The sequence below is a fragment of the Homo sapiens genome, chromosome 1, assembly GCF_000001405.40.
Source record: "Homo sapiens chromosome 1, GRCh38.p14 Primary Assembly".
NCBI lineage: Eukaryota > Metazoa > Chordata > Mammalia > Primates > Hominidae > Homo > Homo sapiens.
The window spans coordinates 120,473,698-120,490,551 of record NC_000001.11 but is presented as its reverse complement, the minus strand read 5'-3'; the positions used below and the strand labels follow the sequence as shown (position 1 = coordinate 120,490,551).

The following is a 16,854-nucleotide window of genomic DNA, read 5'->3' as shown; positions in this document are numbered from 1 at the left end:
CCCCTCCACCTCCCATAGATCACTGGAAAGGACCCGAGGCCTCGGTTCTAATCCCTGGCTTATCACTAACTGCTGTGTGGCTTTGGCTTGTCCCTTAGTCTCTGTGAGACTGCTGCACCCTCATCTGTCAAAGATGGAACTGAACTTAGTTGAGCTCTGAGGTCCCTGTGGACTTGGCCCCTCCACACCCTCATTATGGCAACTGGACATAAACTTAACAGAGGACTTCCCAGCAAAATGTCCTCTTCTTCCTACAAACAGGCTGTTTCTATATGTGCATGTTTCATGCTAAGCACTTCTTTCTTGGGTGGAGATGGCAAAGGCCTCTTTCTGCTGAGACAAAGTGATTTGGAGAGTCACCTGGCCCCTGAAGGGGGAGTGGTAGGATCCAGCCACCCAGTGTGCAGTGAATTGGAGCAGGGATCTCAGCACACAGGGAGGTGGGGAGGCTCCCCCTAACCTCGGGCACCTGTTGCTCCTCCAGACTGCAGCGCATGCTCTTAGCTCATCCTCTTAACTGGCTCTCACCGTGCTCCTGGCTTTGGTCACCACGTAGCTCTCACTCCAGCTTCAGGTAGCCATCAGTAGGACCTGGCAATATACACTGATTTGGTTTGTTTTATGTTTGTCTGCAGGTGAAATCCCTAAGGGCTCTGCCGTGTACTCCAGCCTTGTGACCCTTGCCTTCCAGGAACCATGCAAGAAGCGCAGCCACCAGAAGTCCTTAAAACAGCAGGAAAGGTGAGCCTGTCCCCATTTTGTGCAGCTACCTATCTGCTGAGGAGCATCTGGGCCTCATTCCTCCAAGTCCACTGGAGGGTCCAGAAGAGGGAGTCAGAGATGTATCCTGGTGGAGCTGGGAGAAAGGCAGAAAGCCTTTGTGACAGCTATGGAATACCGTTAGCCAAGGTCCACTTGGCCCAGCACTAAGCAAAAGATGCGTAGTTTGCACAGAAGGTTTTGTGATACTGCCTCTCAACAGCCCCAGCAGCTTGGGAACTAGCAAGAGCACATTTCTTGCCTCATCAGCTGTCCTGAGATGGAAAACTCAGTGGATATAGGACCCTGATTCCGATGAAAGGGGCACGTGGTCCCAATGCTGGAGCTCCTCTGGCAGGTTCTAAAAGCACACTACGGAGCAGCGGTGCCCTGCCGGACACTGCTGGCGGGGGCTCAGTGAGCACTACTCACAGATCCACACCTGACCCTGTTGGGTCGAGTCAGGCTGGGCTTTGGTCTGCACTGTAGCACCTGTGTTCTTTGAGTTCACATCATGAATGTGGTGATTTCCCAGATACCATCTCAGGCTTAACCTAGCACATCCTATTTCTTTTCTTCTATGATATCCAAATTGGACTGACCTCACTTCAAAGTTGCTGTCCCATTTTGTCACCCTATCTTATCTCGGGGAAATTGCAGACTGATGGCCAGACCAACTCTGTTGAAATTCTTGCATAGAGCAAACCTGTGCTCATTTTTAAGTGGCATGGGAGAGGCCCCAAGCCTAGTAAAGCCTAGTCTGTGTCTTCACAGTGCTGGTAGAATGTGTTTGTGTGTATAAATATATGATATAGATTTATATATGTTGCTAACGCCACATATTGAAGGCCAACATAACTGGTGGACAGGGTGGGTGACAGAAAATGAAAGTCTTTTTGGTGATTGTTTAAGCAAGATGTGTATAAAGAAATAAATAGTTTTTCTTTCACTGCTTTGTTTCCCATTTCTGCACCAATCCCTTGACAGTATAAAGAACTGGAAAGAGAAAATGGGAAAGACAAACTGTGTTTAAGAAGCATATAGTCTAATGCTTGAACTCTAACTTTAAAAGATTAAGGTTTTCCTTCTTTGTCATTTTGTAAGAATCCCCAGTCTGAAAATATGAAAGAATGGTTCTTAAACTTGGTGTGCCTGAGAAGCAGCTGTGGAGATTATAGGAGCTACCTCCTGGTCTCCAATCCCAGGAGATTTAGTTGGTGTGAGCCCTAGAATCTGCATTTTTTTAATATAAGCACCCCAGGTGATTCCATTACATGTGGGCTTCAGATCACAGTTTAAAAAAACAGTGTTCTATAACATTGAATCAAAACTAAAACTACATTTAAGAACCTTGAATCAAAAAGTATGTCATTCCATAAACATTGATATAAAAATTTTGAAATATTCCTTGGGAAAAGTTCTTAGCTACATGCTTTTGATTCCCAAGATTAAAATAAGCTATCACTTCACAATTATGTACTAGAAACATTTAAAAAATAAAAACAGGTAGAAGGTGGAGTACGATGGTAGAATAGAATTCTCCGGCAATGGTCTCTCTGAAGGAACATCAAATTAAACAACTATCTATGTAAGAAAACACTTTCACAAGGGCTAGCCAGGTGAGAGATCATAGCACCCGCTTTTAACATGCTAACAAGAAAAGATGCATTGAAGAAGGGAGGAAGGACAGTCTTGCATTGCCTATGACACCTCTCCCCCAACCATAGGAAATTCTCTGAGAGAGAATCTAATGGCTTGGGGACAAGGGGGAAAGTGTGAGACTTTATATTGAAACTTAGTACCAGTCTTGCCATAGTGACACACGGCACTGGGCAGAACCCCACAGCACTTGATTCCAGGCTGGTGCCCACAGAAGAAGCATTTAGACCCACCCTGGGCCACAAGGGAACCAGCTGCCCCAGCAGGAAGAACCCAGCAAAGTTCTGGCCGGCTTTATCACTGGAAATTTCTTGGGCTTCAAATAAATTTCAGTGGCAGGCAGGCTGTAGTGACCACAGTCCTTGGGCAAGCCCTGATGCTGCATAGGTCTGGAGCACCCTGGACTTGTGGTGTGAGCCAGTATGATGGCAGCAGCTGCAGCAGCTATGGGAATGCCTGTATCACCCCTCCCCACACTCCAGGCAGTGCAGCCTGAAGAGAGGTTCCTCTTGCTTGGGGGAAAGAAAGGGAAGTAAGCTAGGGGCTTTACCTGGGAATGCGGAGAACAATCCCTGATCTTCCCCCAAGTCCACAGGGCTGGGGACCTAGGAATCGGTAAGAATTGCAGTGTACCTGGGCCTAGGGTGCCCTGTAGTACAAAAATGGCTGCAGTGATCACTGGCTTAGGGAACTCGTCAGCCCACTTTGAATTCCTGGAAGGTCCTCTGAAGGACAGGTACAAACAAGACCTGACTGCAAAGGCTGGAATAAATACCTTATCCTTCAATGCCCAGATACTGACAAACATCAACAGTATCAATAACATTGAAGCCAATATGACCTCAACAAATGGACCAAGTAAGGCACTCAGTGACCAACCCTGGAGAGATGGAGACGTGTAACTCTCAGGGAATTCAGAATAGCTATTTTGAGAAAGCTCAATGAACTTCAAGAAAACACAGAGAAACAATTCAGAAATATATCAGAAATTTAACAAGATTACTGAAGTAAGAGAAAAAAATCAAATGCTGGAGCTGGAAAATGCATTAGTGGGTCTCAGTAGAATTGATCAAGCAGAAGAAAGAATTAGTGAGCATGCAAACAAGCTATTTGAAAATAGAGGAGAAAAAAGAAAAGAAGAATGAGCAGGAACACAGAATGCTTAAGAGATCTAGAAGAGGGCCTGAAAAGAGAAAATCAAAGATTCATTGGCCTTAAAGAGGGAGTTGAGAAGGAGCAAAGAGTAGAACACTTATTCAAAGAAATAATCTTTTTAAAAAAAAATACTTTAAGTTCTAGGGTATATGTGCACAACGTGCAGGTTTGTTATATATGTGTACGTGTGCCATGTTGGTTTGCTGCACCCATCAACTCATCATTTACATTAGGTATTTCTCCTAACGCTATCCCTCCCCCAGCCTCCTACCCCACAACAGGCCCCGGTGTGTGATGTTCCCCTCCCTGTGTCCATGTGTTCTCATTGGTCAACTCCCACTTAAGAGTGAGAACATGCGGAGTTTGGTTTTCTGTCCTTGTGATATTTTGCTGAGAATCACAATTTCTAGCTTCATGCATGTCCCTGCAAAAGACAAGAACTCATCCTTTTTTATGGCTGCATAGTATTCTTTGGTGTATATGTGCCACATTTTCTTTATCTAGTCTATTATTGATGGACATTTGGGTTAGTTCCAAGTCTTTGCTATTGTGAATAGTGCCTCAATAAACATAGGTGTGCACATGTCTTTATAGTAGCATGATTTATAATCCTTTGGGTATTCACCCGGTAATGAGATTGCTGGGTCAAATGGTATTTCTAGTTCTAGATCCTTGAGGAATTGCCACACTGTCTTCCACAATGGTTGAACTAATTTATACTCCCACCAAGAGTGTAAAAGCGTTCCTATTTCTCCACATCCTCTACAGCATCTGTTGTTTCCTGACTTTTTAATGATCGTCATTCTAACTGGCATGAGTGGTATCTCATTGTGGTTTTGATTTGCATTTCTCTGATGACCAGTGATGATGAGCATTTTTTCATATGTCTGTTGGCTGCATAAATGTCTTCTTTTGAGAAGTGTCTGTTCATATCCTTTGCCCTCTTTTTGATGGGGTTGTTTTTTTTTCCTGTAAATTTGTTTGAGTTCTTTGTAGATTCTGGATATTAGCCCTTTGTCAGATGAGTAGATTGCAAAAATTTTCTCCCATTCTGTAGGTTGCCTGTTCACTCTGATGGTAGTTTGTTTTGCTGTGCAGAAGCTTTTTAGTTTAATTAGATCCCATTTGTCAATTTTGGCTTTTGTTGCCATTGCTTTTGGTGTTTTAGACATGAAGTCCTTGCCCATGCCTATGTCCTGAATGGTATTGCCTAGGTTTTCTTCTAGGGTTTTTATGGTTTTACATCTAACATTTAAGTCTTTAATCCACCTTGAATTAATTTTTGTATAAGATGTAAGGAAGGGATCCAGTTTCAGCTTTCTGCATATGGCTAGCCAGTTTTCCCAGCACCATTTGTTAAATAGGGAATCCTTTCCCCATTTCTTGTTTTTGTCAGGTTTGTCAAAGATCAGATAGTTGTAGATGTGTGGTGTTATTTCTAAGGGCTCTGTTCTGTTCCATTGGTCTGTATCTCCGTTTTGGTACCAGTACCATGCTGTTTTGTTTACTGTAGCCTTGTAGTATAGTTTAAAGTCAGGTAGTGTGATGCCTCCAGCTTTGTTCTTTTGGCTTAGGATTGACTTGGCAATGCGGGCTCTTTTTTGGTTACATATGAACTTTAAAGTAGTTTTTTCTAATTCTGTGAAGAAAGTCATTGGTAGCTTGATGGGGATGGCATTGAATCTATAAATTACCTTGGGCAGTATGGCCATTTTCACGATATTGTTTATTCCTCTCCATGAGCATGGAATGTTCTTCCATTTGTTTGTGTCCTCTTTTATTTCCATGAACAGTGGTTTGTAGTCCTCCTTGAAGAGGTCCTTCACATCCCTTGTAAGTTGGATTCCCAGGTATTTTATTCTGTTTGAAGCAATTGTGAATGGGAGTTCACTCATGATTTGGCTCTCTGTTTGTCTGTTATTGGTGTATAAGAATGCTTGTGATTTTTGCACATTGATTTTGTATCCTGAGACTTTGCTGAAGTTGCTTATCAGCTTAAGGAGATTTTGGGCTGAGGTGATGGGGGGTTCTAGATAAACAATCATGTCATCTGCAAACAGGGACAATTTGACTTCCTCTTTTCCTAATTGAGGAAAAGACTCTCTATTTCTTTCTCCTGCCTGATTGCCCTGGCCAGAACTTCCAACACTATGTTGAATAGGAGTGGTGGGAGAGGGCATCCCTGTCTTGTGCCAGTTTTCAAAGGGAATGCTTCCAGTTTTTGCCCATTCAGTATGATATTGGCTGTGGGTTTGTCATAAATAGCTCTCATTATTTTTAGATACGTCCCATCAATACCTAATTTATTGAGAGTTTTTAGCATGAAGGGCTGTTGAATTTTGTCGAAGGCCTTTTCGGCCTCCATTGAAATACTCGTGGTTTTTGTCATTGGTTCTGTTTATATGCTGGATTACGTTTATTGATTTGTGTATGTTGAACCAGCCTTGCATCCCAGGGATGAAGCCCACTTGATCATGGTGGATAAGCTTTTTGATGTGTTGCTGGATTCGGTTTGCCAGTATTTTATTGAGGATTTTTGCATCAATGTTCATCAGGGATATTGGTCTAAAATTCTCCTTTTTTGTTTTGTCTCTGCCAGGCTTTGGTATCAGGATGATGCTGGCCTCATAAAATGAGTTAGGGAGGATTCTCTCTTTTTCTATTGATTGGAATAGTTTCAGAAGGAATGATATCAGCTCCTCCTTGTACCTCTGATAGAATTCGGCTGTGAATCCATCTGGTCCTGGACTTTTTTTGGTTGGTAAGCTATTAATTATTGCCCGAATTTCAGAGCCTGTTATTGGTCTATTCAGAGATTCAGCTTCTTCCTGGTTTAGTCTTGCGAGGGTGTATGTGTCAAGGAATTTATCCATTTCTTCTAGATTTTCTTGTTTATTTGCAGAGAGGTGTTTATAGTATTCTCTGAAGGTAGTTTGTATTTCTGTGGGATCAGTGGTGTTATCCCCTTTATCATTTTTTATTGCGTCTATGTGATTCTGCTCTCTTTTCTTCTTTATTAGTCTTGCTGGCAGTCTGTAAATTTTGTTGATCTTTTCAAAAAACCAGCTCCTGGATTCATTGATTTTTTGAAGGGATTTTTGTGTCTCTATATCCTTCAGCTCTGCTCTGATCTTAGTTATTTCTTGCTTTCTGCTAGCTTTTGAATGTGTTTTCTCTTGCTTCTCTACTTCTTTTAATGGTGATGTTAGGGTGTCGATTTTAGATCTTTCGTGCTTTCTCTTGTGGGCATTTATTGCTATAAATTTCCCTCTACACACTACTTTAAATGTGTCCCAGAGATTCTGATTTGTTGTGTCTTTGTTCCCGTGGATTCCAAAGAACCTCTTTATTTCTGCCTTCATTTCATTATTTACCCAGTAGTCATTCAGGAGCAGGTTGTTCAGTTTCCATGTAGTTGAGTGGTTTTGAGTGAGTTTCTTAATCCTGAGTTCTAGTTTGATTGCACTGTAGTCTGACAGACAGTTTGTTATAATTTCTGTTCTTTTACATTTTCTGAGGAGTGCTTTTCTTCCAACTATGTGGTCAATTTTGGAACAGGTGCAGTGCGGTGCTGAGAAGAATGTATATTCTGTTGACTTGGGGTGGAGAGTTCTGTAGATGTCTATTAGGTCCACTTGGTACAGAGCTGAATTCAATTCCTGGATATCCTTGTTAACTTTCTGTCTTGTTGATCTGTCTAATGTTGACAGTGGGGTGTTAAAGTCTCCCATTATTATTGTGTGGGAGTCTAAGCCTCTTTGTAGGTCTCTAAGGACTTGCATTATGAATCTGGGTGCTCCTGTATTGGGTCCATATATATTTAGGATAGTTAGCTCTTCTTGTTGAATTGTTCCCTTTACCATTATATAGTGGCCTTCTTTGTCTCTTTTGATCTTTGTTGGTTTAAAGTCTGTTTTTTCAGAGACTAGGATTGCAACCCCTGCCTTTTTTTGTTTTCCATTTGCTTGGTAGATCTTCCTCCATCCCTTTATTTTGGGCCTGTGTGTGTCTCTGCATGTGAGATGGTTTTCCTGAATGCAGCACACTGATGGGTCTTGACTCTTTATCCAATATGCCAGTCTGTGTCTTTTAATTGGAGCATTTAGCCCATTTACATTTAAGGTTAATATTGTTATGTGTGAATTTGATCCTGTCATTATGATGTTAGCTGGTTATTTTGTTCATTAGTTGATGCAGTTTCTTCCTAGCATCGATGGTCTTTACAATTTGGCATGTTTTTGCAGTGGCTGGTACTAGTTTTTCCTTTCCATATTTAGTGCTTCCTTCAGGAGCTCTTTTAGGGCAGGCCTGGTGGTGACAAAATCTCTCAGCATTTGCTTGTCTGTAAAGTATTTTATTTCTCCTTCACTTATGAAGCTTCATTTGGCTGGATATGAAATTCTGGGTTGAAAATTCTTTTCTTTAAGAATGTCGAATATTAGCCCCCACTCCCTCCTGGCTTGTAGAGTTTCTGCCAAGAGATCACCTGTTAGTCTGATGGGCTTCCCTTTGTGGGTATCCCGACCTTTCTCTCTGGCTGCCCTTAACATTTTTTCCTTCATTTCAACTTTGGTGAATCTGACAATTATGTGTCTTGGAGTTGCTCTTCTCGAGGAGTATCTTTGTGGCGTTCTCTGTATTTCCTGAATTTGAATGTTGGCCTGCCTTGCTAGGTTGGGGAAGTTCTCCTGGATAATATCCTGCAGAGTGTTTTCCAACTTGGTTCCATTCTCCCTGTCACTTTCAGGTACACCAATTAGACATAGATTTGGTCTTTTCACATAGTCCCATATTTCTTGGAGGCTTTGTTCATTTCTTTTTATTCTTTTTTCTCTAAACTTCTCTTCTCACTTCATTTCATTCATTTGATCTTGAATCACCAATACCCTTTCTTCCAGTTGATCGAATGGGCCACTGAAGCTTGTGCATTTATCATGTAGCTCTCATGCCATGGTTTTCAGCTCCACCTGGTCCTTTAAGGACTTATCTGCATTGGTTATTCTAGTTAGTCGTTCATCTAATCTTTTTTCAAGGTTTTTAACTTCTTTGCAATGGGTTCGAACTTCCTCCTTTAGTTCGGAGTAGTTTGATCTTCTGAAGCCGCCTTCTCTCAACTCATCAAAGTCATTCTCTGTCCAGCTTTGTTCCATTGCTGGTGCGGAGCTGCATTCCTTTGGAGGAGGAGAGGCACTCTGATTTTTAGAATTTTCAGTTTTTCTGTTCTTTTTTTCCCCCATCTTTGTGGTTTGATCTACCTGTAGTCTTTGATGATAGTGACATACAGATGGGGTTTTGGTGTGCGTGTCCTTTCTGTCTGTTAGTTTTCCTTTTAACAGTCAGGACCCTCAGCTGCAGGTCTGTTGGAGTTTGCTGGAGGTCCAATCCAGACCCTGTTTGCCTGGGTATCAGCAGTGGAGGCTGCAGAACAGCAAATATTGCTGAACAGCAAATGTTGCTGTCTGATCGTTCCTCTGGAGGTTTTGTCTCAGAGGGGTACCCGGCCGTGTGAGGTGTCAGTCTGCCCCTACTGGGGGATGCCTCCCAGATAGGCTACTTGGGAGTCAGGGACCCACTTGAGGAGGCAGTCTGTCCGTTCTCAGATCTCAAACTCTATGCTGGGAGAGCCACTACTCTCTTCAAAGCTGTCAGACAGGGACATTTAAGTCTGCAGAGGTTTCTGCTGCCTTTTGTTTGGCTATGCCCTGCCCCCAGAGGTGGAGTCTACGGAGGCAGGCAGGCCTCCTTGAGCTGCAGTGGGCTCCACCCAGTTTGAACTTCCCTGCAGCTTTTTTTTCCTACTCAAGCCTCAGCAATGGCGGGCACCCCTCCCCAAGCCTCACTGCCACCTTGCAGTTCGATCTCAGACTGCTGTGCTAGCAAGGAGTGAGGCTCAGTGGGTGTGTGACCCTCTGAGCCAGGCATGGGATATAATCTCCTAGTGTGCCGTTTGTTAAGAACATTGTAAAAGTGCTGTATTAGCATGGGAGTGACCCAATTTTCCAGGTGCCATCTGCCACAGCTTTGCTTGGCTATGAAAGGGAATTCCCTGACCCTTGGCACTTCCTGGGTGAGGCGATGCCTTGCCCTGCTTCAGCTCATGCTCAGTGAGCTGCACCCACTGTCCTGCACCCACTGTCTGACAAGCCCCAGTGAGAAGAACCCGGTACCTCAATTGGAAATGCAGAAATCACCCATCTTCCGCATCACTCATGCTGGGAGCTGTAGACTGGAGCTGTTCCTATTTAGCCATCTTGGAACAGCCCCTGGGTTTTGACTCTTTATCCAATTTGCCAGTCTGTGTTTTTTAATTGGGGAATTTATCCCATTTATGTTTCAGGTTAATATTGTTATGTGTGAATTTGATCTTGTCATTGTGATACTAGCTGGTTATTTCCCACCTTTTTTTTTTTTTTTTTTTTTTGAGATGGAGTCTCGCTCTGTCACCCAGGCTGGAGTGCAGTGGTGTGATCTCGGCTCACTGCAAGCTCCACCTTCCAGGTTCACACCATTCTCCTGCCTCAGCCTCTTGAATAGCTGGGACTACAGGCACCCACCACCATGCCCGGCTAGTTCTGTTTTTGTATTTTTAGTAGAGATGGGGTTTCACAGTGTTAGCCAGGGTGGTCTCAATCTCCTGACCTTGTGATCCGCCCGCCTCAGCCTCCCAAAGTTCTGGGATTACAGGCGTGAGCCACTGCGCCCGGCCTTATTTTACCTATTAATAGATGCAGTTTCTTCATAGCATAGATGGTCTTTACAATTTGGCATGTTTTTGCAGTGGCTGGTACTGGTTGTTCCTTTCCATGTTTAGTGCTTCCTTCAGGAGCTCTTGTAAGGCAGGTCTGGTAGTGACAAAGTCTCTCAGCATTTGCTTGTCTGTAACAGATTTTGTTTCTCCTTCACTTATGAAGCTTCGTTTGGCTGGATATGAAATTCTGGATTGAAAATTCTTTTCTTTAAGAATGTTGAATATTGGTCCCCACTCTCTTCTGGCTTGTAGTGTTTCTGCTGAGAGGTCCGCTCTCAGTCTGATGGGCTTCCCTTTGTGGGTAACCCGACCTTTCTCTCTGGCTGCCCTTAATATTTTTTCCTTCATTTCAACCTTGGTGAATCTGACAATTATGTGTCTTGGGGTTGCTCTTCTCAATGAGTATCTTTGTGGTGTTCTCTGTATTTCTTGAATTTGAATGTTGGCCTTCCTTGCTAGGATGGGGAAGTTCTCCTGAATAATATCGTGAAGAGTGTTTTCTAACTTGGTTCCATTCTCTCTGTCACTTTCAGGTACAGCTATCAAATGTAGATTTGGTCTTTTTACATAGTCCCATATTTATTGGAGTCTTTGTTCATTTCTTTTTACTCTTTTTTCTCTAATCTTGTCTTCTCACTTTATTTCATTAATTTGATCTTCAATCACTGATATCCTTTATTCCGCTTGATTGAATTGGCTATTGAATCTTGTTTATGCTTCATGAGGTTCTCATACTGTGGTTTTCAGCTCCTTCAGGTCACTTAAGCTCTTCTCTACACTGTTTATTCTAGTTAGCCATTCATCTAACCTTTTTTCAAGGTTTTCAGCTTCCTTGTGATGGGTTAGAACATGCTCCTTTAGCCCGGAGAAGTTTGTTATTACCGACCTTCTGAAGCCTGCTTCTGTCACCTCATCAAACTAATTCTCCATCCAGTTTTGTTCCCTTGCTGGTGAGGACTTGTGTTCCTTTGGAGGAGAAGAGGCGCTCTGGTTTTTGGAATTTTCAGCCTTTCTGCTCTGGTTTCTCCCCATCTTTGTGGTTTTATGTACTACTTTGGTCTTTGATGTTGGTGACCTACAGATGGGGTTTTAGTGTGGATGTCTTTTTGTTGATGTTGATGCTATTCCTTTCTGTTTGTTAATCCTTCTAACCAGGCAGGTCCCTCAGCTGCAGGTCTGTTGGAGTTTGCTGGAGGTCCACTCCAGACCCTGTTTGCCTGGGTGTCACCAGCAGAGGCTGCAGAATAGCAAATATTGCTGCCTGATCCTTCCTCTGGAAGCTTTGTCCCAGCGGGGCACCCACTTGTATGAGGTGTCTGTCGGCCCCTACTGGGAGGTGTCTCCCAGTTAGGCTACACGGTGGTCAGAGACCCACTTGAGGAGGCTGTCTGTCCATTATCAGAGCTCAAATGCCATGCTGGGAGAACTACTGCTGCCTTTAGGGCTGTCAGGCAGGGACATTTAAGTCTGCAGAAGCTGTCTGCTGCCTGTTATTCAGATATGCTCTGCCCCCAGAGGTGGAATCTAGAGGCAGCAGGCCTTGCTGAGCTGCAGTGGGCCCTGCCCAGTTCGAGCTTCCCTACCACTTTGTTTACACTGTGACCATGGAACCAAGTACTCGAGCCTCAGCAGTGGCAGAACCCCCTCTCCCTGCCATGCTCCAATGTCGCAGGTTGATCTCAGACTGCTGTGCTAGCAGCAAGCAAGGCTCCGTGGGCATGGGACTTGCCGAGGCAGGCACAAGAGGGAATCTCCTGGTCTGTCAGTTGCAAAGACAGTGGAAAAAAGCACAGTATTTGAGCAGGAGTGTACTGCTCCTCCAGGTGCAGTCACTCACAGCTTCCCTTGGCTAGGAAAAAGAAATCCCCCAACCCCTTGCGCTTCCCAGGTGAGGTGACACCCCACCCTGCTTTGGCTCATCCTCTATGGGCTGCACCCACTGTTCAACGAGTCCCAGTGAGATGAACCAGGTACCTCAGTTGGAAATGCAGAAATCACCTGTGTTCTGCGTCTATCTCACTGGAAGCTGTAGACCGGAGCTGTTCCTATTCAGCCATCTTGGAAGCAACCCTCTTTTTTTTTTTGTATTTTGGTAGAGACAGGGTTTCACCATATTGCCCAGACTGGTTTCAAACTCCTGAGGTCAAGCCATTCTATAAAAGAAAATTATATTTGTTTTATCTGAGTTCCTTCCTCAGGAAAGGACTCTCAGTCCTCTCAAAAAGCATCAGAGACCTGAAACTCAGCCAATCACAGCATCCAGACAATGAGATGCCAGTCCCCTCACTCATCACGAGTGCTTCCTCACCCCTCCCTAGTTCCTCTCTTCCCACACACAGTTACGTTTCTTCTGTGCTATATAAACCCCTAACTTGAGTCAATCAGAGAGACAGATTTGAGACTCATCTCCCGTCTACTCAGCTGCAGCACCCAATTAAAGCCTTCTTCCTCAGCAATACTCAATGTCTCAATGATTGTCTTTCTGTGTGCTGAGAACACTGAAGCCCTGGGGTTTTGGTAAAAATACATGTACACTTTTAAAAACCGCAATTAATGGGTTGTGGTATATTGAGAAATTGGAGTGGCATCAACTTGGCCAATTCTGAGGAAACACACTGTGCTTAAGTGTCAGGGCCCTGTCTCCTGACCTCGACAGTTTATGGTTGATTTTGAGGCACAGCAGGGGAGTATGGCCTGGTTTGAGTGTTTTATAGAAATGTAAAACATGGCTGATTACTTTTTATTTTAAATCCAACAAATCTCCATTTCTGGTGAGAAAATCTTGCCAAAACCAACCAAACAAATGCATAGAAGTATATGAAGAAGGAAATGAAAGATTCCCTGCCTCCCAATCCCACTTGCTTGGTGTCAGCCATTATTTATCACATGGAGGAAGGGGGAAAGGCACCCAGGAAGTCCCAAGTCCTGTTCTCACAATCATCTGGCCTCCCTGGGCAAAGGGAAAAGAGGGAAGGCAAAAAGAATATAGCACTACGGTTTGCGGAAATTTCCCCTTGGTACAGGAAACTCTGGTAAACTGAGAGAGTATGTTTTCCATGAGGGAGGCCTCAAGGGCTCTTCTCTGGCCCTAAGCCCAAGCTGGATTTTGACTCATTTTCTGAGGTGCAAATGAAATGATAAAAGTTGATCAAAGGAGAGGGCAGAGAGAAAGAGGATGACTCCTCTCTCGCAGGTCCACCTTCCTTGGTGTTGCTTGAGGGATCAGAAGAAATGCCTTAACATAGGTGTGTGGGAACTATGGCTGCTAAGTATGAACTCAGTTACCTCCAGTTATAAGCTAGTGTGAGGTTCCATGGTGTAATGGTGAGCACTTTGGACTCTGAATACAGTGATCAGAGTTCAAGTCTCACTGGGACCTTTCTGTATAATTCCAGTGAGGTTCTTCTCTATTGCTCCATAAGCAGAATGGGGGAAATTGCCCAATCGTGGTCACAGACCCTCCATGCCACTGGCTGTGTGCAATTGGAGTCCCGGACCCAGCGACCAGCAAGACCCCTCCCCTCTCAGGGTGACCCTGGGCCTCCAGGTCACAGGTCTCCACTAAAAAGGCTGCCTCCCCTCAATCCTAGACCCCGAGTTTTCTTTTGTTCACGTCATTGGGCCATTGCCCTATGTCTCTTTGGAAGAAATGACCTATATGAAAAGCTTTACTTCTGGGATTCCCTAATTCCTTCATCCCTTAGGACAGTGCAGTTTTTCATCTCCTGATCTTGGGTCCAGTACTAAAGCGCGCGTTTGATTTTGTTTTCATGGGATCCCCTCTGACCAGCTACCAGTGGATTCCTGTCCTTGGGGTCTCTGTGGACGGCAACTAGATGCTGCTCTTGTCCCAAATCCTGACACCTCCCTCCAGCCAATTGCCTCCCTTAGCCTCCTAAATCAGCCAATATTTAGATTTGAACTTGAGATCCCAGCATCTGTGGAGAACAGAGGTTCCTGATCCCTGGCCAGCCTCCCGCAGTGAAGGGGAGAGGAGCAGAGCAGCTGGGAGGGGCAAGTCCAGGGCCCTGGGCAACCCCCTTCTTCCTGCCCAGACTCTGCTCCAAGGAGAAGTTGCCTTAGGACCAGATCAGATGGAAACTCTTGTTCTCTTCTCATCAGCAGAAAAATTTAGGCAAGAGCTCTGGAGGACCTTCCTAGCTCATAAAAATGCTGTGGTCAAGTCTCTCCAGTTTTGGAAATGTCCAAGGTTACCAAGTGTTTTGAGGGCTCACTTTGGAGCCTCTGAAAAGGAGGGGTCAGGGCCCATGGAAGGTACCTGAGGGATGCAGGGGAGAGAGGGGAAAGAGCAGACAGGAGGGAGGAGAGAAGGAGGGAGGGGGAGAAAGGGTGTGTGAGGGCCAGGAGCCAGGATTCACCCTGACAGTTCAGTGACTGCTCCCTGACCCCAAGGTTCCCACTGTGGCACCTTCCAGCAGGTGGTTTCCATCTCTTATTGATGTCCTGAGAACTTGGCTCTACAGAATGGTCCCACCCTATTTGTCTGGCATGAGTCCTGCAAAGTTTCTTTTCATCGTTTGGGGGATGAAATGGGGGTATATAGGTTTGCAAGTGACTAGGAGCTAAGTCAGGACCTTGTGAAGCCACTCAGAGTTAACTGTCAGGTAGCCTCCTTTCCCCCTTCCCTTGCAGGATGATTGCCTGCAAGACAGGGCCTGGAGGAGGCCAGGGCACCCAAGGCCACAGAAATGCCCAGGGATGAGTCCCAGCTGGAGATGCCTTGGCTGAGCTGATTGTGCACTTCCAGGGCTCACAGGGGTCTGGCCAGGAGACTAAGGAAGGGGACCAGGGAGGTTGTGTAGCAGGCTTCTGCACAGCAAGGCAGACATTCTTCTTGGAGCCCCCAACCCAAAACAGGTCTTCCACCTCCTCTTCCTAAAGACCCTTTACTGCTGTCATTCTTTTACTAGAACTACAAGTTTATAGGACATGGATTTCAGTGCCCTCATCTGGCCAAGCATCTTCAGCTGCCAATGCCCAAGGTAACCTCTCTCCCTACTAAGACCTGACTCAGGACCTTTCCTTAAGGAGATGTCCTGTTCTTTCTTTCCCACCAGAACCGCCCTGGCCCAGACCCCATTTCTGTCTGGTGACCAGGACAGTCCCCTCACCAGTCTCCCAGGTTGGGGAGGGCAGATCCTCCTCAGCTCCCTGCCCCTGAAAGACCCCAACCGTCTTGTGTGGCTCCGGCCCACAGAGTGATATCCATGGCCCATATCTCTCAAAACTCTCCCCTCCCACTCTGAATCCACCCTCTACTGCATGCTCCCCTCACAGAACAGACTAATTTTTGTGTGTGTGTCCTTGTTTTGCCTACCTGTACCCCAGACAGACTTTTCTGTCTTAGAACTACCTGTCCCTCTTTGAACAGTGTCTTCCTGGTAGTACACATGAAGATGTCCCGCTCTCCCCTGCTCAAGGAGAGAGTGCCTGACCTGAGCTGGGCCCATCAGATCCAGTACTTACCTGGAATAGGAAAACGATGGGGAGGGTGACCAAAGATTGCAAAAATCTTTGAAGCTTATCTACTTGAGAGAGAGTCCCTGAAGATACTGGCCTCTCATTCCTGCTATGTATATCCAATGTGACTGAACTCTGAATAAAATATACAAGTTATAACAATGTAGCAATTGACCCAGCAAATGAGGACACAAACGTGTTGGAGGGTAAGGTGGTGAGAGGCGTGTTTGGGGGTGGTGGTGATGAGCAAGTATGTGAAGGAGAGGTAGTGCCTAAACTTGAAAATCAAAAAGTAATAATATCTATTTAGACATAAGGAGATAAATAACGAAATAATTGCTTCTATGTGATGAAACTCTGGGAGTACACAAGGGGACTGCTATTTTACTAAACAAATTTTCAAGTATATATAACTTTGATAAAGTATCCAAATAATTCCTTTCCCATATAAATATGTGCATATATGTATTCATTGTATTTTGAAGATAAATTTTTACACAGTCATGTTAATCGCTTTCATTTAAGGATTTGAGTTTGATGTCTTGCATACAATGTGATCTCACTGTATGACTACACAAATGTTGGCAAAAGTGAGTTCAGAGGAAATGGTAGGCAAGTACTTCCCAGTTTTGGCCAGAAGATGGAGAAAAAGAGAATTCTCAAAAAATGTTAAAAGTATGACATGTTATATCTTCTTTTCACAGTAATTTAGACAGAAATTAGCAAAATCAAAAATGTATAAATACTTTGGTCTGACAATTCCATCTCCAGGTGTCTACAGAGAAATAGACAAGCGATGCACGACAGATACATGTGTCAGTCTGGTCCCTGCAGTTGTATTTGTAATAATACACATTGGAGCAATTTCATGGCCATCAGTTAGAGAATGTTTGAGGAATGATCCATTCATATCAAGAAGGACATTTCAAAGATCAAAGCCTGATGGAAATGCTGGAGACCATGGCGCTGATAGGAGCTCATGCGTGTTGACCAATTACTACATGACAGGCATTGGCTCCAGGCTTTTCCTGCACTGCTCATTTAAACACTGG

The 16,854-nt window shown here is 44.5% G+C and overlaps 1 pseudogene across 2 annotated transcripts in view; it reads left to right on the top strand.

Annotated features, from left to right (window-relative positions):
• Positions 1-16,854, top strand: part of PDE4DIPP2 (PDE4DIP pseudogene 2) — a 195,809-nt pseudogene that overhangs the window by 174,885 nt on the left and 4,070 nt on the right. For both annotated transcript variants that reach the window (NR_144517.1, NR_144516.1), the window contains one exon: positions 636-741. The product of NR_144517.1 is annotated as a PDE4DIP pseudogene 2, transcript variant 2 (transcript). The remainder of the gene's footprint in view (positions 1-635; positions 742-16,854) is intronic.